Here is a 22,825-nt window from a genome sequence, read left to right as displayed (position 1 = left end):
ATACACAAATACATCAGTCCCCGATGCTGGCTCCTTCATCTATGTCTACCTGTTGTTAGATTTGGTTTAAATTCCTGGATTCTGTGTTCTGTATGTGCAAGCAAAAACTAGCCTAAATTTGGAGATCAAACATAGCATATAAACGCTCCTCTCTCCAAACGAGTCTTTCTTGGTCCTAGCATAAAGGAAAACTATTTCTCTACTCAAAATACTTCTGACACCAAATATATGAGGGTTTTCTTCCCCCAGCATCAACCAGCTTTCCAACTCTGCAAATACCACTTGGGTGTCCCATAATTTAATTCACTTCTGACACTTAACTACCTGGAGTTAGAACAGAATCCACAGGTTAAGGGCTCAGTCCCACAAACTGCCCCCTTCTTCATGCCAGTTGCAAGTAGTGGGGTCCTCAGGGTATCCACATTTCTGTCCAACTTTGCTATAAAGTCAGGGGTTCCCACAACCCCCACTTCCCCGCTAAGGTTCAGTAATTTGCTAGAACGGCTCATAAAACTCAGGGAAACATTTACTTACATTTACTGATTTATTATAAAGGACACAGATGAACGCTAGATGAAGAGGTGCATAGGGCGAGGTCCAGAAGTGTCCTGAGCACAGGAGTTGGGGTGTGCCCCCTTCCCAGCACATGGATGTGTTCACCAGCCCGGAAGCGCTCCAAATCCCATTGTTTAGGGATTTTTATGGAGGGTTCATCATGTAGGCATGATTGATTGTTAACTCAGTCTCCAGCCCCTCCCTTCTCCCTGGAGGGTGGGGGATTAGGGCTGAAAGTTCTAAGTTTCTGATCATGACTTGGTCCTTTTGGTGACTAGCCCCATCCTGAAGCTATCTAGGAGCCCACTAAGACTTCCTTCATTAGAGCAAAAGGCTCCTGTCTTCCGGGAAATTCCATGAGGTTTAGGTGCTCGTATCAGGACCAAGGCCAGAGACCAAATACTAGAACAAAAACTCCTCTTAGCACCTGTGTTACTCAGGAGATTACAAGTGTTTTAGGAGCTCTGTGTCAGAAACCAGGACAGAGACCAAATACATATATTTCTTAAATAGACTTTGATATATACATCAAGCATATATTTATTTCACAGATTATGATCCTGCAGTCACAATTTTTCCTTCGTGAAATGGTGGTAAAGCTTCAGAAGTAGGTTCTAAAGACAAAACTCCAAAATAATACATCACTTGGAAGGATACAGTCAGCTCTTCAAGACAGCACTGTGTCCACAAGAAGCTGCCTGTTTTAGGCTGCCTTGGGCTTCTACATTTCCTAACAAAATAGCCATTTTATCCTTCAGAGGAAACGTCAGTAATCACTGTGATAAAATTATTAAGCGTGTACTTGTTCTTAAACGTGTTGCTGGCGAATTTGATAATTCTTTTTATTTTCCCCCCGTTGATTTTTCTCAAACCCTGTTAACTTTAGAATGTGTGACTCCCACCTCAGGGCTGGGGCAGGACCTGGTGGGAGACCTAGCTTTGGGGCTCTCTTGAGTCTTACATACGTTGTCCTTTGGTAACTCCTCCTTTGCAGTGAGTCTAGGGAATGATTTTCCAGCCACCGTCGCTGGGTTGGTCTGGATAATCTCTGCAGTCCTGAGACCCTGCCCAGCTGGGCGGCTGTGAGAGACAGCCATGACCAAGAGGTGCCTCGACCACAGAGGAGAATGGCTACCTGGTGCTGGTGGTGGAGGACATACTGAAGGCACACGCTGTCTCCACCATGCTCCTGTCACATGGGTCGGGGTTAGCTCCTCTCAGAGATTAACACCCTTGTTTTTTCTTTTTTGAAATGCTTACCATCTAGTCCAGGGGCTGGCACACTACAGCCCTCAGGCCCGGTGTGTATGATTGGAATAGCTGTGTCTATGACTGCATCATTCTCTAGCGGCAGGGCTGAGGAATTGAGACAGAGATCATATGGCGCACAAAACCTCAAATATTTATTCTTTGGTCCTTTACAGAAAAAATTTGCCTACCCTGATCTAGCCCATTGTTTAAATGGCAGCAGCTGAAATTTCTTTAGGGATCCAGCTGCAGTACTGGATTTGTGCACGTCTTGTTAATTTCACACATAATTTAGCTCATTGTGAGTGAAGTTGAATGGGAGCTCTTTAAAATAGAGGCACCTTGGGCTTCATCACAAAGCAGCGATTGAGCATTTTATTTTGAAGTAAGAAAAAAATTTAAAACGTATTTTAAATATCAATCCTTGACCTTTTAGGGTTTTCAAAGGCAGTGTTATTGAAGGCTTTGAAAGGTGGCTGAGATGCCAAGCCTGAGTTAGTGCTCAAGGCCCCAGGAAGAGATAACCAGTGATTGGAAGGTTGGGGTGGCTTTCTTCCTGTTTCAGTCTTCTCGTTTTCCTCAAATTGGATATTGCGCTCCTGTCAGGCTAATAACCAGTGCTGGTTTATTTTGTACAGGTTTTTAGACACTTCCAAACAAGCCATAGGAATGCTGTTCATCCACTTTGCAAATGTATACCTAGCAGATCTCACTGAAGAGGACCCTTGTTCACTGTAAGTGTTCCCTATTTGAGTGCAAACATCAGCTGCCCCTCCATTGAAAATATAGGCTGGCCTTGCTTTCTGCTGCTGGTCCTGCTCCCTCTGGCTTGGGGAGAGGGTGCTCCCCTTTTCCTCTGTGCTCCTCTGAGAGACCATCCTGTACATGCTGTCCTGGAGCTCACTTACACAGCTATCAGTTGGCTTGTAGGGCTTTGCGTGTTGACACTTTCCCCATGCACTGGCTTTCTGTTCATCAATCCAAGTTCTGTCCTTTGATTTTCTAGTGTCCTTATGTCTCCCAGTTTCCAAGCCGCCCCTGGCAAGGAAGGATAATGCCCTACAGGAGTGTCTCTGCTCTGGAACCAGGACACACCAGGGCTTCTCTGTGGCGTCAGCCATTCAGGGTCAAAACTGTTGTTGACCCTCATTGACCTCTTCCACCTTATCATTGCAATGTGCCTTCCATGCAGCCCCCAGAGCAATCCATCTGTGACCTCAATCCGGCCATGATATTCTGTCCTCCTTGCTGATGGCACCCACATAGTGCTTCTCTTAGCAGGTGGAGTGGCAGAGGAGGCTTGCCTACCTCATCCTGGCCCCATCTTCTGCCTCCCTTTGTCCTCATAGCAGCCTGCCATATATTAATGGAGACTTTGATCATCCCCATTTTACAGTGGTGGAACTGAGGCACAGAGAGGTTATATATACTGTAAGTTCACACCGCTCAGGAGTCATGGAGCCCAGCCAGTCTGGCTTCCAGGGCCCACATGATGCTTTGCTGTCTGTCAGAATCATCTGTGTTGAGGATGGAACATAGAACTTTCTCTCTTTATTCCCAAGGCATGGCACACAGTAGGCTTGTAAATGTTTGCTAAGTGAATGAATGAAAGTAAGGTCTGTATGTACATCACATGTCCTTGTTCTCGCAGGCGTGAGATGCTTTGGACACAAAGTATCTGAGAGCAGCATAGCCTCAGGCCAGAGGGAAATTGCCTTGGAAGCAGTTGCTGCTCCTGCCATCTCTGGTCTAAGAGTGACCCCTTGTGATTTTACAGAGGAAGGGCAGGCAGGAGAAATGCCCCCTCCCTCTTTTCACTGGTTTTCCTGCTGACCTACCCTAGCACAGGCTGCGCCCTCTGGCATCAGAGTGCTGTGTGCACATCACCAAAGCTCCAGCCCAGGATAGGAGGCTGTGAGACTACACAAAATGTCTCAAGCCTCAGCAACTGGAAAGCTCACCACACCTGGAGTGTGTGGTGTCCTGCAGCTTACCTGCAAGGATTTCAGAGCCACATGGTATCGTAGAGGGTCAGTACTGGACCCAGTGCCCTTGTCTCCCACTCTGTCTACCATGGAGAGCTGGAGCTTGTGGTCAGCAGTGCTCAGCTGGATCTGGGTACAAGGCCCTCAAGAGAGGGTGAGTGGAAAAGGGCCTTTCTTTGGTGAGAGAAAAAATTTTGTGTCGGATGGAAACAGACCGTACAAGAACACAGTTCATGTGGTATGCCCTTCAGAGCCTCCTCCTCTCACTCCCCCAGTTATCTTGCCTTTTCCCATGGGGAGTAAAGCTCGCTCTTTAAAGTGTAGGCCGGGCACGGTGGCTCAGGCCTGTAATCCCAACACTTTGGGAGGCCAGGGTGGGCATATCCCTTGAGGCCGGGAGTTCAAGATCAGCCTGGCCAACATGATGAAACCCTGTCTCTACTAAAAATACAAAAATTAGCTGTGTGTGGTGGTGGGTGCCTGTAATCCCAGCTACTTGGGAGGCTGAGGCAGGAGAATCACTTGAACCCAGGAGGCGGAAGCTGCAGTGAGCTGATTGCACCGCTGCACTCCAGCATGGGCAATAGAGGGAGACTCCATCTCAAAAAAAGAAAAAAACAGTGTAAAAATATTACTTATGCTTGACTGCAGATGGGGATGGGCGAAGGCCATGTTGCCCTGTCCTCTTTGTCTGCGAAACCCGAGAGGCTGTTTTCCTGAACCTCTCTGGTGCAGCAGCACTGTTCTGGGCCTCCTGGGCTGGACTGTCAGGGAGTGAGCAGAATCATTGCCTAGGTGTTTCTGTCATCAGTTAAGTTCTGTTTCCTGTTGATTTCCCTGGCTGCTTCCAGGTACTCTGTCTTCCATTGAACCTTCGCCTGGCAGAAGCACTGGCAGGTTTTTGTTTTGTTTTGTTTTTTTGAGACAGAGTCTTGCTGTGTCACCACGCTGGAGTGCAGTGGTGCAATCTCAGCTCACTGCAACCTCCACCTCCCGGGTTCAAGTGATTCCCCTGCCTCAGCCCCCCGAGTAGCTGGGACTACAGGTGCGCGCCACCACGCCCAGCTAATTTTTTTGTATTTTCAGTAGAGACAGGTTTCACCGTGTTAGCCAGGGTGGTGTCTATCTCCTGACCTCGTGATCCACCCGCCTCGGCCTCCCAAAGTGCTGGGATTAGAGGCGTGAGCCACCGCGCGCAGCCAGCACTGGCAGTTTTAAAGTGTCTTTGTCCCTCACTCACCTCCCTCAGGTGGTCGCACTCCTGATGAGCTTCAGCACATGGTAGTGACAGCTACACTGGCACATGAGGGCTCCCAGCCCCCAGAATGGGCCCAAACAAATGCTGGGTCCATCCGCTTCCCTCAGGCCACCCTGCATCAGCCATGACCTCTGGCCCCGTGGCTTCTGCCGTGACCATGCATGTGCCCTGTCCTCACAGGTACCTCATCAACTTCCTCCTGGACGCCACTGTGGGCATGCTGCTCATCTACGTGGGGGTGCGCGCCGTCAGCGTCCTGGTAGAGTGGCAGCAGTGGGAGTCCCTGCGCTTCGGCGAATATGGTAATATGCTGTGGATGCCGGACAGGGCGTGAGGGAACTGCTGGAGGTCTCTGCTCCTTGCCCCATGCGGCCCACCAGGCAAACAGATCCAGAAATGGCTGGGGAGCTGCCATTGTCTTCTCTGTGTGGTAGAGGGGGCTGTTCTGGGTTTGAGCACACCCTCCTGTGGGTGTGGGTGCCTGCTTTACCACCAAGGCCCTCACCTTATGGCAGGGAAGGTGGCAGGAGGCAGGAGACACTAGACACAGAGAGAGGGCTGAATGTCTGCTCCTTCTAATGGAAGACACCAGCAGTCCCACACACAGGCCCGCAGGGACTCTTCGTTCTGCCAAGCTTCCTGTAGAGCTCACATCACCTGCCTACCAGGTTAAAGAGATGGGGCAGCTCTCATTTTTCGAAGGTGTTCAATAACGAGGTGGCAAGCCCTGCCCCTCTTTCTGCTGCACATCTGTGCTTGTCCTGTTGCTAGGCCATTCCACACGGCTGGTACTGGAGGGCACCTTCCTCAGGCCCTCACTGCCCTCTGAGGTTTCAGGACAGAGTTAGGGGTAACATCAGCTCTCTCCCACCCTCACAGCTGGCCCCAGGTGTCTGCAGACAGAAGCTCCTCTTCCAGGTGGATCAGTATCAGTGGAGCCTTTGCCTTGAGAGGGCCACAGAGGACAAGAGGGAGGGAGAGCGGATGGAATTCGGGATCCCCACTCTCCTGTCCTGGTCATGCCTCCCAAAGAGCTCATGGCTGTGGGCTCAAGGGCCACTCACTTCTAGATGGCTGAAGATTCACAAGGCACTGACAGTTTAAAAGGGGAGCCAATTCATGGAGCTGGCTATGAGTACCTTGGATATTTCCAGAAATGTTAAGTAATTGTTTGTCTCCGTTGAGGGGAGATGAGCTCAGGGCAGGGCTTTTCTTAGCCCCGTACTTGATGCCTGATGAGTCACTGACTTAAGATAGTGTCCAACACACAGCTTGTGCCTCCTATGGCTCCAGGGAAGGCTTCTGAGAAGCTGCGAGTCATTGAGTCCTCAGCTGCAGAACAGAAATGGACCACAGTCGGGGGACCAGCACAGCATCATCGTCATTTATAGAATGGGCACCCAAAGGAGTTAAGTGACGCGCAAAGCTCACCCAGCCAGTGCATGGCTATGGGAGCCTGGGCCTGCTGCACCAGGATACCTAAACCCTCCCACCACCCCCACAAACAGTGCTCACAACTACTTTGCAGTTGAGATCCCTTCTAGAAGGTGTGGCTCCCAGCTCTACTATAGCTGACCAGTGCTAAGGTGAATCCACTGGTCACCACTAGTCTGTCAGGTGCCACTCAGTGACCTGGGAGTGAAGATCAGGTCTGGTTCGGATACATCAAGCATTAACGCTACCAGCTGTTCCCTCACATTTTGTCTTCATCCCCAAGGGTGGATGGAAAGGAAGAAGGCAGTGATATTGTTTCAGCCTCTTTCTCAATCTCTTGGCCTGCCTCAGCCCCTGCCCCTGGGTCATCCCACCACTGCCTTTGGGAGCCAGAGTCTTCAAGCCAGAATGTCTCCAAATAAAGCTGTGGGGACCATCCTGAGTCTTCCCCAGGCTGAGGAAGGATAGCTTGTCTGCTCAGTTACCTGTTGTTTTCTATTTCCATCAATTTCTGTTGTTTTCTATTGCTACTGTAACAGATTTCCACAAACTTCATGGCACAAATTGAAACAACACAAGTTGATTATCTTTTTTTGTTCAGAAGTCTGTCATGGGTCTCACTGGGCTAAAGTCCCAGTGTCAATGGGGCTGGCTTCTGGAGCCTCTGGGAAGATTGTTTTCTCGCCCTTTCCAGCCTCTAGAGTCTGCCTGTAAGCCTTGGCTCGCGGCCCCTCCTTCCGTCGTCCAAGCCAACAAGAGTCGCTGGGTTTATCCCACATCGAGTTGCCCTGACTTCCTGCAGCCTTCTACTTTAAAGTGTCCTTGTGATTACATTGGCCCCACCTGGACACTCAGAACACTCTCCCTGTCTTAAAGTCAGCTGACTAGCAGCCTTAATTCCATTTGCAGCCTCAATTCCCCTTTGCTATGTGATGCTACACACTCACAGGTTCCAGGGATTTGGATGTAGGCAACTGTGTGGGGCTGTTATTCCACCTCCCACACCTGTTATCCTGCCCATCCATTTGAGGAAGAGGTACCACAGCTCTCTTCTCATGTAAATGAAGAAGAGGGGCTTATTTTTCTAGGATGTGTCTTTTGTTCCTAGAAGAGAAGGCCAAGAGTTTGCTGATGAGAATGCGGGACTCAGGGAAATAAGCCACACAGCCCCGGCGGTTGAGACCAGATCCAGGTGACGCATGGTGTCTGCACTCTGATTACCAGGCCACTCTTTCCCATGTGGAAGCCCTGACATCTGGGTCACGGTGCTTCATGGGTCTTGCTGCCCATCCCTGGCCAAACTCTCCCTTTTGAAAGCCTCTCGCCACAGATGTGTTCCCTCCTTTTGGCCCCTATTGCTGTGACTTCTACTGAGGAAATAATTAAACCCAAACAAAACACCCACATGCCTGAGGTTGTTCATTGCAGTAAAAAGCAAGACACACAAGGTCCAGGTGCAGTGGCTCACACCTGTCATTCCCAGCACTTTGGGAGGCTTAAGCGGGGAGGATCGCTTGAGCCCAGGAGCTTAAGACCAGCCTTGGAAACAAAGCAAGATCCCGTCTCTACAAAAAAAAAAATTTTTTTTAATTAGCCAGGCACATGACATGCATTCTTAGTCCCAGGTACTTGGGAGGCTGAGGCAGGAGGATCACTCAAGCCTAGGAGTTTGAGGATACAATAAGCCGTGTTCATGCCCCTGCACTCTAGTCTGAATGACAGAGTGAGACCCCATCTCTAAGAAAACAATAACAGCAATGACAAAGCAGGACATGCAACACTGCCTGGCATGTCTGTCCTTTAAAGAGGAGACTGTGGGGGACATCTGAAAGACTCGCAAGTGAAACAGGAATCAGGAAACACAGCAGCCACGTGTGCTTCTCCCAACGGTGGCTGCGTGAGATCTGGGTTCCCAGAGGAAATGGTGTGCCAGACGGGGTCACAGGTGCTTTTTCTCTTTTCTCACGTTTCTGAACTTTCTTATTTTAGCATCTAAAGAGGCAGCTGTAGCTAAGTTGTGTAGCAGAAACCTAGAACACTGGGGCAATGTGAGGCGTATGGGAGGAAAAGCATTTTCCTCCTTGTCAGTCACTTAAAACTGAAGAGCAGATGGAGTGAGCACACTGAGCGAGCGGACATCCTTCCATAGTAAATAAGCGGTGCCGCGCGCTCCGCTGGCTCCCAAACACTCCAGTCCTCACAGAGAGATTTCCTAGTGGCGCTTTCTGTCCAACTGTCCTCAAACCTACTTAATTACTTAATGGTTTCTCACAAATAAGTTCATCTGTTGTTTTGAGAACTGTTCTCGATAAGGTTAGGTGACTTACCGAAAGGAAAAGGATTGCAAAACTCATTAACAACCTAGCAAGGAGGGATTATGCTTATGAAATGGGTTTTTTGGCTCAAATGTCTCCTATCCCTTAAGTGAAAGTAGAAAGGAAGACCTCAGAAGAGGCGACTGATGTGTTTCTGCCACACTTCTCCCAGGGTTTTCCAGAAAAGGGAATGGCCTGGTGTTTTGTCCATTGCAGCTGCATAAAGTCATTCCCTTGTGTACAGCTGACAGGCTTGGGCAGGGCATGGGCCTCCAGCATGGGTGCCCAAACAGGGATTGCTGCAGAAACAATAAAGCCAAGTGAGAAGCTGGAGATATCTCTTTGGACCAAATTATCTTCTCATAGCCTGGATTACGGCCTTTACCCCCCAGCCTCCCGCCCCCCCGCCACCCCCAAAATGCTACCCTGTACCCCCTCTTCTGGCCAGCTGTGGTAAGGCAGCTCTGGCAGAACTTCCAGGGTGAGCCCCAGGCAACCTTCCCACATCCCACTCTCCCCTGGGTCTCCCACTTTGGGGAGGCCTATGTGGCTCCCAGGAGCCACCCTAGGGTTCTTCATATCACAGGATCATTCCCTGGAGGGGCTGGTCTTCTCTCCGTTCAAAATGTCCTGGAGGCATTCCAAGGCCTGCACATCCTCCAGCTTGTACTACTAGGTCCCTCGGTTTCTCAAGCATGGTGACTGAAGGGGTCCCAGATGGACCTTTGTCACAGCCCTGGGCCCCGGCCCATCCCTCCCACCTCCTTGCCCCAAGGACTTCTCTCTTCACTTCCTTGTCCCTGGCCAAGGTGTTTGGGGTGACCCATGCTGGACAGGTAGAGTCCAAATTCCTCCAGAGTCACGTTTCTGCTCTCAAGAGGCTGAGGTATCAGGGATGGCCCGGGGAGTTGGGTAAGGGATGGGAGGTGGGGAGGTGGGAGACAAACAAAGCGACTGGGTCCTGCTTCATCATCCACAAACATCAGTCCACTCATGGACAGAGAAGGGAGGGGCAGCCCCGCTGTCACTGGAAAAATCAACAACGGATAAGAATAGCAGTCTTGCTTCATACAGCTTCTGCTGCCAGCCGGCAGAAAGAACAGCTTTTCTGAGCTCCAGCAATGAGCACTTCCTAACTTTAGTGCTTTTTAATCCTATCTTAGAATCTCTTAAAAGAAAGGCCATTTTAGTATCTTCAAATAAGGAATTCTCTGATTTTATTTAAAATACTGCATTTGTCTGTTAAGGATGAGGTAATCCTTTGGACTTTTGGGGGGGCTCATTAAGTACCTTTAGAGCTTTAGAGCCAGTGTTCTGGGGTGCGTGTGGGGGAGTGGGGTGGGGACATCATCTCACTCAGATGCCTGGGCCCCATGTGACTAAGCACCCGCCTGTCCCTGCAGGAGACCCTCTGCAGTGTGGAGCCTGGGTCGGGCAGTGCGCTCTTTACATCGTGATCATGATTTTTGAAAAGTCTGTCGTCTTCATCGTCCTCCTAATACTTCAGTGGAAAAAGGTTTGCTTCGTCCCTGCATGAGCAGCTCCTTGCCACGCTGAGCAAGCAGCACTTCCTCCCCATCACCCACATACGCCAACTCTAGGAAAACCAAACTTGTTTTAACTCTATGAATGTGTCCTGCATTTGGTCTGATGTGGCAACTACTCCAAAGAGCTTGTCAATTCTTAGCATCCATCCACTTTAAATGTCTGTTCTAGATGAAGCCTTGGGATGTATAAAACTAATGAAATACAGTCCCTGCCCTCGGCTTGCTACCATCTGATGGTGGTTTTTAGGCCTTGCGACAATACATGTTTCTACATCGGCAAACATCCTGTCACACACCTCTCTTGGCTGGTAGTTTAACTGAGCCATGTGGTGCCACGGGCAGCTTCCACAGTCTGTGACCTTCAGTGTGCCGATGCCCTGGCCAGCCCACGGGCTCCCCAACCGTGGCTTCCGCCCTCTGACCCCAGTTCTGTGTAGATAAACCCCCACTCCTCATCCCCGAATGCCCACATGAGACCAGCCAGAAGCTTTGAGAACAAGTGGCTCAGCTTGGCCTCCTTTGGGTTTTATTTGTGTTTGGATTTTATTTAAGAAAATAAGCCAAGGCTTTTCAGTGCTGTTGTCTTTTAGGGGTGGTTGAGGTGTGGGATTTCTGTTAGAAAGTGGTCTGGGGCCTCATTGCTGGTGTCTATAATGAGCATCCACTGTGTTCACCCCTCCAGCCCCCTGAAGCCCACACTCCACTCTCCCGGTGGGCACTGCTTGCCTTGCCCTGGCTTGGTGGCTGTAAGCCCACTGCACTTTGCAAGTCCACACTGAGGGGAAAGCTGCCAAAGCACCAGATGCTTAATGTGGTCTCCAAGGGTTCCTTGTGGACAGTCTCATCTGGGAACCCTAGGCATGAGGTGCTGCTCCCATTGGGCTTTGGAGGAAGCGTCTTAAGCTAAGGCTCCCTCAGGGCCTATGGGTACCACCCACCCACCCCAGGCACACTCTCGGTGGCCTCTCCCTACCTCACTGAGTCTGCTTCTCTTTACAGGTGGCCCTGTTGAATCCCATTGAAAACCCAGACTTGAAGCTGGCCATCGTCATGCTGATCGTCCCCTTCTTTGTCAACGTCAGTGCCATGTTGCATTTTTATCCCGATTTGCTCCCTGTCTGGCAGGGTTCCTGTCCAAAGTTCTGAGTCTGACAGAAAGCTCACCTGTAGCCCTCAGGTCTTTTTGCGTGACCATTTGCCACCTCTCCCACCCCCAGACCTGGAAATGGCAGGATTACCCCCTCAAAAGGCAGGGCCCCATACCAGGGCTCCCGTCCAGGATGGAGGGGCCTGGGAGCTTTGTCTTGTCCTCCCTGCCGAGGGGCCTCCCACCAAGAAGCCCCACCCATGTGTAGCGCCAGCCTCTAGTTCAGGATTGTTCCAAACGTACCCATCGTTCATTCCTGACCACGGATCTTGAGAAACTCCCGAGCACAATGGCTCGAAGTTAAGAAACAGAAGTGGTGAGGGAAGCTGGGACAAACAGATGACAGCAGGGTGTGCCGGCCACCCACATGGAGTCTGTGGGGAGGGGCCTGGAACGCGTGTCCAGAGACCTTGCTTCCAGGCCCCAAACAGGCTGTTCCCCCTAGTTACCACAACAAAAACCCGTCAGGGCACGTTCCTTGCACACTCTGATCAGAAAACTGAACCCGAGGATGTGGAGACTGGGAATCTCTTTCTAAGCTTTGGGAGAGAGCAGGGTGATTGGATTGGGTTTTTCTTTCCATAGCTCTGGATCTTATAACCTGGAATGGGAGTGGGCGGATGGGGGCTGTTCGGCTTTGCTTTGAAAAATGGTTTATCCCAAAGTAACCTGCACTTTTCCTTCCCACAGGCTTTGATGTTTTGGGTAGTGGACAATTTCCTCATGAGAAAGGGGAAGACGAAAGCTAAGCTAGAAGAAAGGGGAGCCAACCAGGACTCGAGGAATGGGAGCAAGGTCCGCTACCGGAGGGCCGCATCCCACGAGGAGTCTGAGTCTGAGGTAGGGCCTCCCTGACTCTCCAAGGGCCCAAGCCGTCGTATCGCTGGCCCAAGGGGGTCTCTGGTCTCATGTCTGTGTATGTTCTTCCCTTGAGTGCAGAGTCACAGTGCGAGCCAGAGGGCAGGAGAAGAGGCTGAGCCAGAGATGAGCGAGGGGCAGACAGCTCTGTCCAGCCAGGACCCATTCCCACTGTCCCTTGGGCCTGCCTAGGGCAGGAGGGCAGAGCAGATGGGAGTGGCTTGCCTGCGACAGTTCCTCTGTCAGTGGAGATGACAGACAGGAGAGGGAAGTTCTGCCTTGTTTGGTGAGCTGGCAAGGACCGTCATGGGCCTAATGGTTGATCTTCAAGCATTAGGATATTTGAATCTCTGCCCAACACTAAAGAGCAAGGGAAGTGTTGGCTCAGACAGCTGGAAACTTCTAAAATATAGGGGTAGCCAGACCTTGCAGGAGGAAACTCATCCCCCCCTTATTTTCTGGTCTTCTGAGTTCAAGGGTTTGGACCTCAGGGAAGAACGGTGGCCATGAATAGCAGCCCTGAGGCCAGGATATGTGTTCTGGCGGCCCCGCAGCACTCACCCCACATCTGCGTGCAGGGCCAGCTCGTGGGAGGCATGGGAGGCCTAGGAAGTGTGCAGGTGGGAGCTGCAGAAAAGCTGAGACAAACGTCTTCCCCGGAGAGGCTGTCAGACACGTGGGTGAGGTGCAGGTGGACACATAAGTATTTCGTCATGACACCGTAATATGTTCTAAGATTGAGGCATAGGCAGAACCCAACGAGGGCCCTGGGACAGCCTGGAGGGAGTTTCAGAAGACGAATAGATAGTAGGACAGAGGGGAAGCCGTGTCTTCTCTAGGTGCTTGTCTCTAGAATCTGGCCAGCACCTGTCATATGAGAGCTTGGTGAACATTAGGTGAGTGGCAAACAGTGTTATGGGCAGAAGCAGCAGCTCATGAGCATTCACAGTCACATGGTTTGGTGTCTGGGCCATAGTGTGAAATGCACTGTGGCTTGTATTCTGGAGCATAGGACAGAAGGACAAGAAGTGAGGCACAGGCTGAGCTAGATCGGCAATGCCCTGTGATCCAGGCTGAGGCATTGGGATGTGCTCGTACAGGCGGTGAGGAGCAGTGGGAGTGTGGTGGTCGGGACCGAGACTAGAGGCAGGAAGCCCCGCAAGGGAACAGTGCAGGGAAGAGGAGGTGAGACTGCCTGCCCTGCCCTAGAATAGGAGTTCGTGTTTCCCTGCATAGGTGGGCTTTGGACCTCCTGATCCCAACCTAGGTGGTTCCAACCTTTCCCTGGTATTCAGAGGTCTAAGGAGCCAGGCAGGCGGGCAGCGGATGAGTGTGTTTGCCCCAGCTGCATGGCTGAGTCATTCCAGGGCCTTAGAACAGCAAAGTGCCGCTGTTTGTCTTCAGCAGTTACAGAGTTGGCTCAGAGCAGCCACGCTGAACTCCCCCTGCCCACAGATGCTTTCTCTTCCTTTTGAAAGGGGCTTTTCAGTCTGCCTCTGCAGTATTTAAGGCAGCTTCAACAACTGCATGTGTCATGGTTGAGCTTTTTTTAGCCAGGGTGACCTTAGGCTGCAGATCCCTGCTGAGTTTGTCCTGATGGAGGTCGGTTCCCCTGGAGGTGGACTGAGAAGTGGGGAGCATTAGCAGAGGAAGGGGGTCTGTCGACTCAGTGCTGGCTTCAGTAGCCCATGAGTGTCCTTGGAGTGAACATGGCCTGTGGAGGCTAGCACGTCTCATTGAGTACAGGGAGCTTCCCCTCACTCTCTTGTAAAGAAACATTAAGACTTGGCAAGGCATGGTGGCTCACGCCTGTAATCCCAGCACTTTGGGAGTCCGAAGCAGGTGGATTACTTGAGGTCAGCAGTTTGAGACAAGCCTGGCCAACATGGTGAAACCTCATGTCTACTAAAAGTAGCAAAAAAAAACAACGAACCAGGCATGGTGCCACGCACCTGTAATCAGCTACTCAGGAGACTGAGGCAGGAGAATCACTCGAACCCAGGAGGCAGAGGTTGCAGTGAGGCGAGATCGTGCCATTGCACTCTAGCCTGGGTGACAGGGTGAGACTCTGTCCAAAAAAAAAAAAAAAAAACATGAGACTTGAAGGGCCCAGGGTCCAGGGAGGGCAAATGAAGAAGGCCCTGCTGGGGGTGACTCAGGCCCTGCCTCTCTACTGCCTCAGATCCTGATCTCAGCGGATGATGAGATGGAGGAGTCCGACGTGGAGGAGGACCTCCGCAGACTGACCCCCCTCAAGCCTGTGAAGAAAAAGAAGCACCGCTTTGGGCTACCCGTATGACACATTCCCATGCTGGGGGTGACGGGAGGGCCCCGCCAGCCGCTGGTGTGCAGAGGTCATCCCGCAGCATCGTTCCTTACCCTCTCTCTGCCCTTCCTTTCTACCTCTGCTCCTCTTGCTGTCTCTGCCCGCTCTCGCCTGCCCCCAGACTACTGTGACTTAAAAAGAGGGAAGAGGAGCCAGCGCCCGAGGGGGCCACTGGCGGCTGGAGGTCCCCATTCAGTTGCACTACAAACACTGACCAAATATGCAAGGAAGGAGCTGTGTTTGTTTGTTGTCGTCCCAGACAGTGTTGTGAGGGACCTGAGGCCCTGCCCCGTGTCCGACCACCGAGTGGCAAGGTGGAAGGAAGCACAGGCACACAGACCGTGGGTGGGTCTCCTCACCGTGGCTGTGGGCAGTGCGAACACATAACACCCTCGGGCTAAAAGTGACTCGTTGACCAAGTTGGAACCGGAATGCTTTCTTACTCAAAATGGCTTTTGTAACTATTGATTTCTGAAGCTGGTTTTATGAGTTGTGACAGTGTTACCAGGTTGGGGGTATGTGTTTATTTCCTACAAAGTACTTACGGGACTAATGGGCAAAACAGAGATTTTTAAGTCTTCCGTATGCTGTTTGACTTTTATATTTTTAAGTTATATTTTCATACTATTGTATTTAAAAACTCTTTTTAGTCCCCAAAGAAATGGGTTTATTTGCCTTTCATGGGGTGTGGGCTGGCAGGAGGAAAAATCGGGAGTTTTTTATTTGGAATATTATTAGATGATGCCCTATGATAAGATGAGACAAATGATGGGGAGGGAAGGAGGATGGCCCTTCTCTAGAATCAGCAAACCCAATGGTTCTGTGAAGGTCAGACCCAAGCTTGGAGCAGCTGGTCTGGATGCAGATCCAGGAGCTGCAGAGTGTGGAACAGGAAAGGCTCTGCCCAGGGCCCATGAGCTCTAGCATTCCTGCTGGCAGATTAGAGATCTTAGTTAAATTTGACCAAGAAAGGAGCTTAGCTAAGAGGTCTTTGTTTCCAGAGGACCCAAGACTACCAGACTCCTGTGCAGTCTGCCTGTCTGCAGAGCCTCCAATCACGGTTTAAAGTGGTCTTGGCCTCCCAGCCCCCACTGCTGCAGCCTTCAGAGCCAGCCTCTGGACTCAGCGCCAGGAGCCTCCTCTCCTGCTGCCCTGGTACCTGTCATCCTAGTGTCACCTATTTGTTTTGCACAGCATTCTGGAGAACATGTGCCTCACAAAGTGATCCTGTTTTTCTCACCCTCCAAAGCTGAGGTGGCTAAGGGAGGCAGGGGTGAGAGAGCTCACTCTCTAAACCACAGGCAGGGCAAGGTGCTTCTAGGCCGTGTCCCCTCCCTGGGGAATGGTCACTACTCCTCAGCATGGCCACAGGCCCCTGTGGTTTTGGGAGTTTGCTGAGTGACTGTGGAATGGGCTGACCCCAGCCGTTTCCCTGCTGTGGAAACAGCAAGGTAGGGGCACTGCTTGGTGGTTTGTCAAGCTCAGAGGCAGCCACGGATGGTTAGGAACAGGAAGCCACACTGCTAAGGTGTGATGAGCTAGAAGGGAGACATCCTGGACTTCAAGTGAGACAAGTGCAGAGGAGGCCACTCCACTTAGGACCTTCCTTTTAGACCTGCATGAGCACGTGTTTCACTTAAGCACATTGGGTCCGAATTGGGCGCATGAACCCAGCTGTTAAACCAGGTACCCTGGGACTGCCCTCTGCCTCTCAGAGCCCTACCTGTCCTGGACTTGAAGGCGAGCATCAGGCAGGCCTTCTCAGCCCATCTTCCACCAGGAGTGCAGAGCCAGGGTGCTGAGAGGAGCAGGGACTGTAACTACAGTAGGAGGCAACTTTGCTGGTGTCATTCCTGCTCGGATTGACTTTGTGCTCCCTCCCATCCACAGCTATGGTAGCCAGTATTTCCCCAGCAGCTCTCTAGTGGGGAAGAGTGGCTAGAACCAGGCCATTCTCAGTCGAATTTAGGAAGACCAAGACTCATGTTCCTGACAGGACGGTCATTCCCTCATGGCATCACTGACTCAGTTCTAATTCCTCCCCTCCTGTTTCATTTTGGTTTGAACAACCTGTGCCTGCAGCTGTTTCTTCCACCTTCCTGGAGCTCACAATTGGAGCTTCATGTTCAGTCTTGAGCTCCTAATGTTTCCAGACAGGGCAGGGGATAGGAGAGCCATAATCTATGAAAGCTGTGAAACAAACCCTGGGTTATATAGATCTCAGATGGTCTCATCTGAAGGCTTTGCCCACTTCCCAGTGAGCAGAGGGTTTGGGGAACAAAGAGGTAGCTGAAGAGTGGTGGTTTTTCCCTGTATCCTGATTTTCAGAAAGGGCTTTAGTCTCTGAGCTGTGGCTAGTAGCTGGCTGGCTGACCAGGGGACGGGGGTCTAATAGGGTGTCTGACCATAGGACACCTCTCGTGTTTGGCCTTCCCTTTCTTGTGTGTTTGTGTGTGTGTGTGCACGTGCACGTGCACACACATGTACACACACAAATCTGTATCCCCAGGAGTGCCTCCTGCAGTCACTGGGGGCTCTTCCGTGGTGCACCATCCCATGAGAGCAGATCAGAGGGCTGTGGTCAGGACTTCCTCCCGAGCTGCCCTCCCTCCCTGGGATGAGTTTCCTCTCCACCTGCTCCAAGGTGCCTTACGAGGTGCAGCTCTTCACCTGGCCACATGGCATCCATCACCGTGTTGAGAAATGGTGGGACGTTGGCTGGATATTGTGTGCTATGAATCTGATTTGTCCAAATCTGGACCTCAGCCAAGCCACCTGTGGTGGAACCTTGCAAGTCAAGGTCATGAACAAATTTCTTGTAACTATTGGAAATAAACTAATGAGGTAGAACTGTCATATCCAAATGGAAGAGGTGGTTGGTACTGTTACTTCCTTTTGCTGTCAGAGGGTTGTTGACAATGGCAAGGGGGGATGTTAGTGAGATCCAGGTGGTGGTGGCTTCTTGGTCCACTCAGCTTGCACACATGCAAGAGGAGGGTCTGTGGCCCCTCAGCCGTGCTGGTGGCCTCCTTCCTCAAGCTTTAACTTGTGCCCTCCCTGGCAACAGGGAGTCATGGGTTAATGTCACCTGTCATGCCTCTTTCTTCAGGGAAAATATTAAAAGGCTCAAATCCAAGCTGTGACTTCCCTTAGACAGTGTAAGCCTGTAGGGTGCAGCCCCAAGTTTATGTCCAAAGGCTGCCTCAGAACCCTGGAGGGAGCAGCGCCCAGCTGGCAGCTCACTCTGCCCTTGCAGTTCACTGGCCTTTTCGCAGCCAGGCTAAGATAGGCAGTGCAAGGAGCTTCCCACTGGCCAGAGCAGCTGCCTTGTAGAATGTGGGGCTGGCTTTTAGAAGTTTCACACGCTTGCAGCTAAGAGTGCAGAGCTCTCTGTTTTACTTCGTGAAACATTAGCAGCTCTGAGGGGCTTGGCTTTTGGTAAGGGACTTATGGTCTGACTTGCCACAAGCACCTTGAGCTCCTGGGTTGGTTGGTGGTTGGTTGGTTGGGTTGTTTTAAATTTGATTTTTCTTTTCCTGAAGTTTGTTAGAAGTCAGACCTATGCAAGGAAAACCATGGCCCACTTCAGCAGCCATCCAGTGGGGGTGCTTAATCGGTGGTGGTAGGATTCATGGAAACGTTTTTTTGAAATGAAAGAGAAGATGATGTACTTACATTGTAAAATGGTTTACAATAAAGTTTGGCATCTTATTACAGTTTTTTTTAAAAAGAAACCATCACATTTGTGGTTGTGGTTGTGGGTTCTCTGGAGTTGAAACAGCTTGGCAGGGTCAAAAAAGATTCCCCTGTGAATTAGAAGGTTCTCCCCAGGGACCAGAGTGAGAAGGAACCTTACGAAGCCTCATGGCAGGAGTGGGAGCCAGCAACTGCCCAGTGAAAAGCCAAACATGCTCTTGCCATGTCCATCTCCACTTCTTCGCTAGTGAGAATTAAAGCAAGTCCGTCTCTGAGGAGGACATCGTGTTGGGGAGGTAGAGTATAAGCAGTGAGTAGCCCACATCCTTGTCCCTGAGGCTGCGGGGCTGGAAGGAGGTCCCTGGGCAGAGCCGCAGCATCAGGTGCCATCTGCAGGGGCACCCCTGGAACTAGTGGAAGGCCCCCACAAGGCCTGGCCTGCCCTCAGCTGCCTCTTGGCCCATGTGCCACATCCTGGGCATTCCTCATGTCAGCACTTGTCTCAGATCAAGCCTGGCAGTCCTCTCATTGGCCTCCTGGAGCCAGGGTGTCAGGAGGGGGATTGGGGTGGGGTTCAAAGTATGACAGCAATGGAGTGGCATTTGGGATAACCAAATGTCAGTGCCTGGTTGAGTTCCATCTGCCTGGAGCCTTCGAGGATAAAAATAATCTCCATCATAAACTGAAAAGGACTTAGATATGTGTGTTACTGGGAGGGCTGCGACCTATGCACACCTATTCCCCATACCCACCCCAGGCGTAGGCTCCTGGCCTGTGCCCTGGGGGATCTTCCCCTTGCAAGGAGGGGTGTGTTAGGAGCTTCTAGCAAAGGAGAGCTAAGTGACCTTCCGGGGAGCCCTTGGGCCTGTTCTTGTCTCTGCAGCTCAGTATCTGGAGTGGGCTTCACTCTCCCCCACCCTCTTTGAGCAACTGAAACTGTCCTGCAGGCCAGCCCCCCTGCGGTGGCCTCACCTACTCGGAGGTGAGTAGGCTCAGGCCTGAGCCTGAGCCTGTTTCACACCTCTGTCTCATCAGTGCTGTCACCATCGAGCATGGTTTCCTCCCTGGTCCTTTCCAGACCCCTTACTCCCCCCTCTCTGAACTTGCAGTTGGAATAGGATAGAGGACAAGGACATCAGCAAAAACATGAGCAACTCCCCAGGCTCCCTTTACCTCACTTTCTCCACCTGTGAACCTGTGGTAGCCCCTCTCTGAGTTTGCTGCAAGGGCCCAGTGAGCTTGCCATAATCAGACGCAGCAGACACGGGAAGCTCCTGCTCTGCCACCATGCAGGGATGGAAAATCTGTCCACTGGAATCCAGGGGAAGGGATGGAAGAGGAAGAAAAACAAGCTTGGAGCAGTCCAACCCAGCTAGGGCCCTCCATTCCCTCAGGGACACCCCACACCCACCCCACACACTGGGATGAACCCTTGCAGAGGAACAATTCAGATGGTCACACATTCCAGGACCCAAATCCGTAAACACAAAGCATGTCCGTCAGTGCCAGCACCTCCCCCCGGCGAATCAAGCAGCTGTCCCAGAGGGCAAAGGGTCTCTGCAGCCATCTGCTTTCATCAGGGCTGCAGCCCCCAGGCAGCAGTACTGGGAGCCCCTCTCATCTCCGAGAATAAACTCTGAAGCCAGCGACCCTGCGGACCTGAATCATCAGGGAGCCTGTCAGAGGAGGGGCAGTGACTCTGCGGGACAAGCAAGCAGGCTATATAAGTTTCAGAAGGCTGGGCTCCACTCAGATCTTTTCCAGCAGCTGCTGCCTGCCAGAGAGGCGCCTTCAGAGACCCAGCGCTTACACAATACCCACCATGTCCCAGGTAGGAGGACCCAGCAAGGGCTGTGTTGATGCCAGAGGGAGTGGAGGTGGAGTCCTGGACACTTTCGGCTCTGGCAGCTGTGTCTTGATCTGAGCCCCAAGCATGAACTGGAGGCTCTGCAGCCCTTGGGAGATGGGGGCTCAGGGAGGACCCCCTGAAGAACCCCTCTTCTATGTGGCTTTGGTGGTATTCCACGGTTTGTTAGGAGGAGTGGAGAGAAATGTTGGGGGTGGGGGGGGCCTAGATAGATCTTTGCATGTGCCTGTGTGTGTGTGTGTGTGTGTGCGCATCTGTGTGTGTGCTGCCGATATAGCTCAGTGTGTAGAGCTTTGTGCATTTGTAGCTATGGGCCCGGCAGCCATGCACTCTGTGTGTGGCCACACACATAGGTCTGTCTGTCTCTGTGTATGGTATATGCATGAAGCTGTATGTGTGTGCACATGAGGCTGGAGGGACACAGCTGGATGCATCGCTGTACAGGGGTATAGTGTGTTGCTCTGAGGAGCCTGGCCCAGGCTGAGCGAGGAAATACCTGCACCTGCACCCAAGCACAGGCAGGTCTCAGACTCACAGGCGCCTGGGGTTGAGGGGTAGGGTAAACACCGAGCCTGGGTGTCCCCCACCCTGGAGGGACAGACCAGCCTGCCAAGAGAGAGGACTGTCCTTGCTGCCTGCTCTGTGGGTGGGTGGCCATTTTGGACTGTAATTCTGTGGGCATCTGGCCCTTCTACCCCATTTCCAGCCCCAAAGACACAAAGTAAATAGTGGCGCTTTTCTGGAAGGGGGCAATCCTTGAGGAACCGCTTGCCACCCAGTGAACAGGTTTTGGAACTAACCAAATTCCCTAGTATTGCCCAACCTCAGAGCTAGTCCCCTTCGCTGTTCCCCACTGTGCCCAGTCCTGAGCTTGACCAGGTAGCCAGACACGCCAGTGTGAGGCTGCAGCAGCCACTGCTCCCAAGAGCTCCCAGGCTATAGGGGAAAGGCACATGGGCAAGTCAGACCAAGACAGCTGGGAGACCTGCAGCAGGTGGAGTATAGTTGGGAAGGCTTTCTCTGGAAGAGGAGTAGAGCCTTGAATAGGCTTGGGTTTAATGAGCAGAGAAGAGGGGTCTTGGCCAAGGCACAGAGGTAGGTGTGCCTTTCTACCGAGGCTTCAGGTAGTAAGATGAGGCTCTTGGATCTCCAAGGCTGGTGCTCAGGAAGCCCCTATCAAGAAGAAGCGCCCCCCTGTGAAGGACGAGGACCTGAAGGGGGCCCGAGGAAACCTGACCAAGAACCAGGAAATCAAGTCCAAGACCTACCAGGTCATGCGAGAGTGTGGTGAGTGTCCTCATGCCATCTGGGGCTGGGGATGGGGGTGCAGGTGTGTGTCAGTGGTGGGGGGAGGTGGTCAAGGATCCTTTTCTGAGAATCCAGTATTCCTGGGTTCAAGAAAGGTGCTCCCATCGTAAGGGATCTTCCCTCCCAGGAAGCTAGGCTGGCCCCTGACTTTACCTCCTCCCACAGAGCAAGCTGGCTCGGCCGCCCCGTCGGTGTTCAGCCGCACCCGCACAGGTACCGAGACTGTCTTTGAGAAGCCCAAAGCCGGACCCACCAAGAGTGTCTTCGGCTGAGAAGTGTGCGCCACTCCCCTTGCTGCCCGAATGCTCGGAAACAGGAGCCTTTCCCAGGAACTCTTTTTTATGCCAGAACGCTTCCTCTCCCCTGCTGTCTCTGGGGCTGCCACCCTCCCCCACAGTCCAGGCCCTTCAGCCAAGGGCTCTGCACCAGCACCTTGGAAGCACCAATAAAGAGGATGCCCACGTGGCCCCAGCAATCAGAAGGTGTTGGTTGGTCCCTGGCTATGGCCACTATTGAGAGGGAGGACAGGGTGGGAACATGGAACATGTCCGTTTAAGAGGATCCCAGGGGATAGCACAGGTGCTATTATGGGCACTGCCACATGCTGCCTTGGACATGGAGACTCAGTGCTGACCTGTGACTTCAGACTTTTCTGAGCCTCAGTTTCCCCTTTTATACTACAGGGGAGTTGAGCTGGAGTCTATTCCATAAAGCAGGCCATGATGACACTGCTCAGAGTGAAGTGGGTGGGGTCTCAGGGACCACCTCTCCTCCTGCCTTCCACAGAAGCTGCTGAGAAGCCTCTGAGGACCTGCAGGCTCTGCAGCACCTAGGGACCTCAAAAACCCCTCTCCCTGCACTGCACTAGGGACCTCAAAACCCCTCTCCCTGCACTGCACTAGGGACCTCAAAACCCCTCTCCCTGCACTGCACTAGGGACCTCAAAACCCCTCTCCCTCCCTACACTTTTGTTCACACTGCCTCCTCCCGGCTTTTGTCCCCTCCAAGTCAGAGCCAGATTGAGATTCCTCTCTGGCAGTCAGTTTCCTGAGCTACCGTCTCTTCCAAACAGCAGGGGTAAGACTCCCACATTCTGCTCCAACCATGCTGTCTGGGGCATGGAACACCAGATTCTCAGCCTGCATGACCCTTCTCTCTCCAGTCCTCTGTCCCCTGTGTGCCTGGAAGTGCCAGGTTCAAAAGACCCATAGAGGCCTGTCCCGTTGTGATGGCAAGACCATGACCATGGACAGGCTGACAGTGGCTCTTTTCGGAGCTGGA

The 22,825-nt window shown here is 52.1% G+C and overlaps 3 protein-coding genes and 1 non-coding gene across 4 annotated transcripts in view, besides 3 other annotated features; all 4 read left to right on the top strand.

The window, feature by feature from the left end:
- Window positions 1-18,407, top strand: part of STIMATE (STIM activating enhancer) — a 60,816-nt gene extending 42,409 nt beyond the window's left edge. The window contains exons 3-8 of the mRNA NM_198563.5: window positions 2,442-2,537; window positions 5,227-5,348; window positions 10,199-10,311; window positions 11,342-11,419; window positions 12,180-12,329; window positions 14,530-18,407. Coding sequence (NP_940965.1) covers window positions 2,442-2,537; window positions 5,227-5,348; window positions 10,199-10,311; window positions 11,342-11,419; window positions 12,180-12,329; window positions 14,530-14,646 — 676 coding nt within the window. The 3' untranslated portion in view covers window positions 14,647-18,407. The remainder of the gene's footprint in view (window positions 1-2,441; window positions 2,538-5,226; window positions 5,349-10,198; window positions 10,312-11,341; window positions 11,420-12,179; window positions 12,330-14,529) is intronic.
- Window positions 1-22,019, top strand: part of STIMATE-MUSTN1 (STIMATE-MUSTN1 readthrough) — a 64,428-nt gene extending 42,409 nt beyond the window's left edge. Inside the window, exons 3-10 of the mRNA NM_001198974.3 lie at window positions 2,442-2,537; window positions 5,227-5,348; window positions 10,199-10,311; window positions 11,342-11,419; window positions 12,180-12,329; window positions 14,530-14,640; window positions 21,391-21,523; window positions 21,710-22,019. Of these exons, the coding sequence (NP_001185903.2) occupies window positions 2,442-2,537; window positions 5,227-5,348; window positions 10,199-10,311; window positions 11,342-11,419; window positions 12,180-12,329; window positions 14,530-14,640; window positions 21,391-21,523; window positions 21,710-21,816 (910 nt within the window). The 3' untranslated portion in view covers window positions 21,817-22,019. The remainder of the gene's footprint in view (window positions 1-2,441; window positions 2,538-5,226; window positions 5,349-10,198; window positions 10,312-11,341; window positions 11,420-12,179; window positions 12,330-14,529; window positions 14,641-21,390; window positions 21,524-21,709) is intronic.
- MIR8064 (microRNA 8064) lies at window positions 8,588-8,677 on the top strand. The gene has a single exon (NR_107031.1). It is a non-coding gene; the product is annotated as a microRNA 8064 (primary transcript).
- Window positions 10,155-10,655: an enhancer, noted in NCBI's record as "H3K27ac hESC enhancer chr3:52878501-52879001 (GRCh37/hg19 assembly coordinates)". NCBI's record gives its function as "activates a minimal SCP1, AML or CMV promoter by ChIP-STARR-seq in primed H9 embryonic stem cells {active_cell/tissue: H9 hESC(primed)}" and the evidence as "EXISTENCE:reporter gene assay evidence [ECO:0000049][PMID:30033119]".
- Window positions 14,836-15,337: an enhancer, noted in NCBI's record as "H3K4me1 hESC enhancer chr3:52873819-52874320 (GRCh37/hg19 assembly coordinates)". NCBI's record gives its function as "activates a minimal SCP1, AML or CMV promoter by ChIP-STARR-seq in primed H9 embryonic stem cells {active_cell/tissue: H9 hESC(primed)}" and the evidence as "EXISTENCE:reporter gene assay evidence [ECO:0000049][PMID:30033119]".
- Window positions 17,521-17,690: an enhancer, noted in NCBI's record as "experimental_70612 CRE fragment used in MPRA reporter constructs". NCBI's record gives its function as "activates a minimal promoter by MPRAs in K562 erythroleukemia cells, with activity observed for both the introgressed and non-introgressed 3:52871551 variant alleles {active_cell/tissue: K562}" and the evidence as "EXISTENCE:reporter gene assay evidence [ECO:0000049][PMID:34662402]".
- MUSTN1 (musculoskeletal, embryonic nuclear protein 1) lies at window positions 20,121-22,019 on the top strand. Its single transcript, NM_205853.4, has 3 exons — window positions 20,121-20,200; window positions 21,391-21,523; window positions 21,710-22,019. The coding sequence occupies exons 1-3, from the start codon at window positions 20,192-20,194 to the stop codon at window positions 21,814-21,816; spliced, it is 249 nt and encodes an 82-aa protein (NP_995325.4). The 5' UTR covers window positions 20,121-20,191; the 3' UTR covers window positions 21,817-22,019.

Source organism: Homo sapiens, chromosome 3, assembly GCF_000001405.40.
Source record: "Homo sapiens chromosome 3, GRCh38.p14 Primary Assembly".
In the NCBI taxonomy this organism is placed as follows: Eukaryota; Metazoa; Chordata; class Mammalia; order Primates; family Hominidae; genus Homo; species Homo sapiens.
Note: the sequence above shows the minus strand (reverse complement) of the source record. Positions and strands in the feature narration are given on the sequence as shown.

Coding starts and splice junctions, on each gene's coding strand:
- MUSTN1 (NM_205853.4), top strand. Junction 21,524..21,709: donor CCAGGTCATGCGAGAGTGTG/GTGAGTGTCCTC, acceptor CTCCTCCCACAG/AGCAAGCTGGCTCGGCCGCC.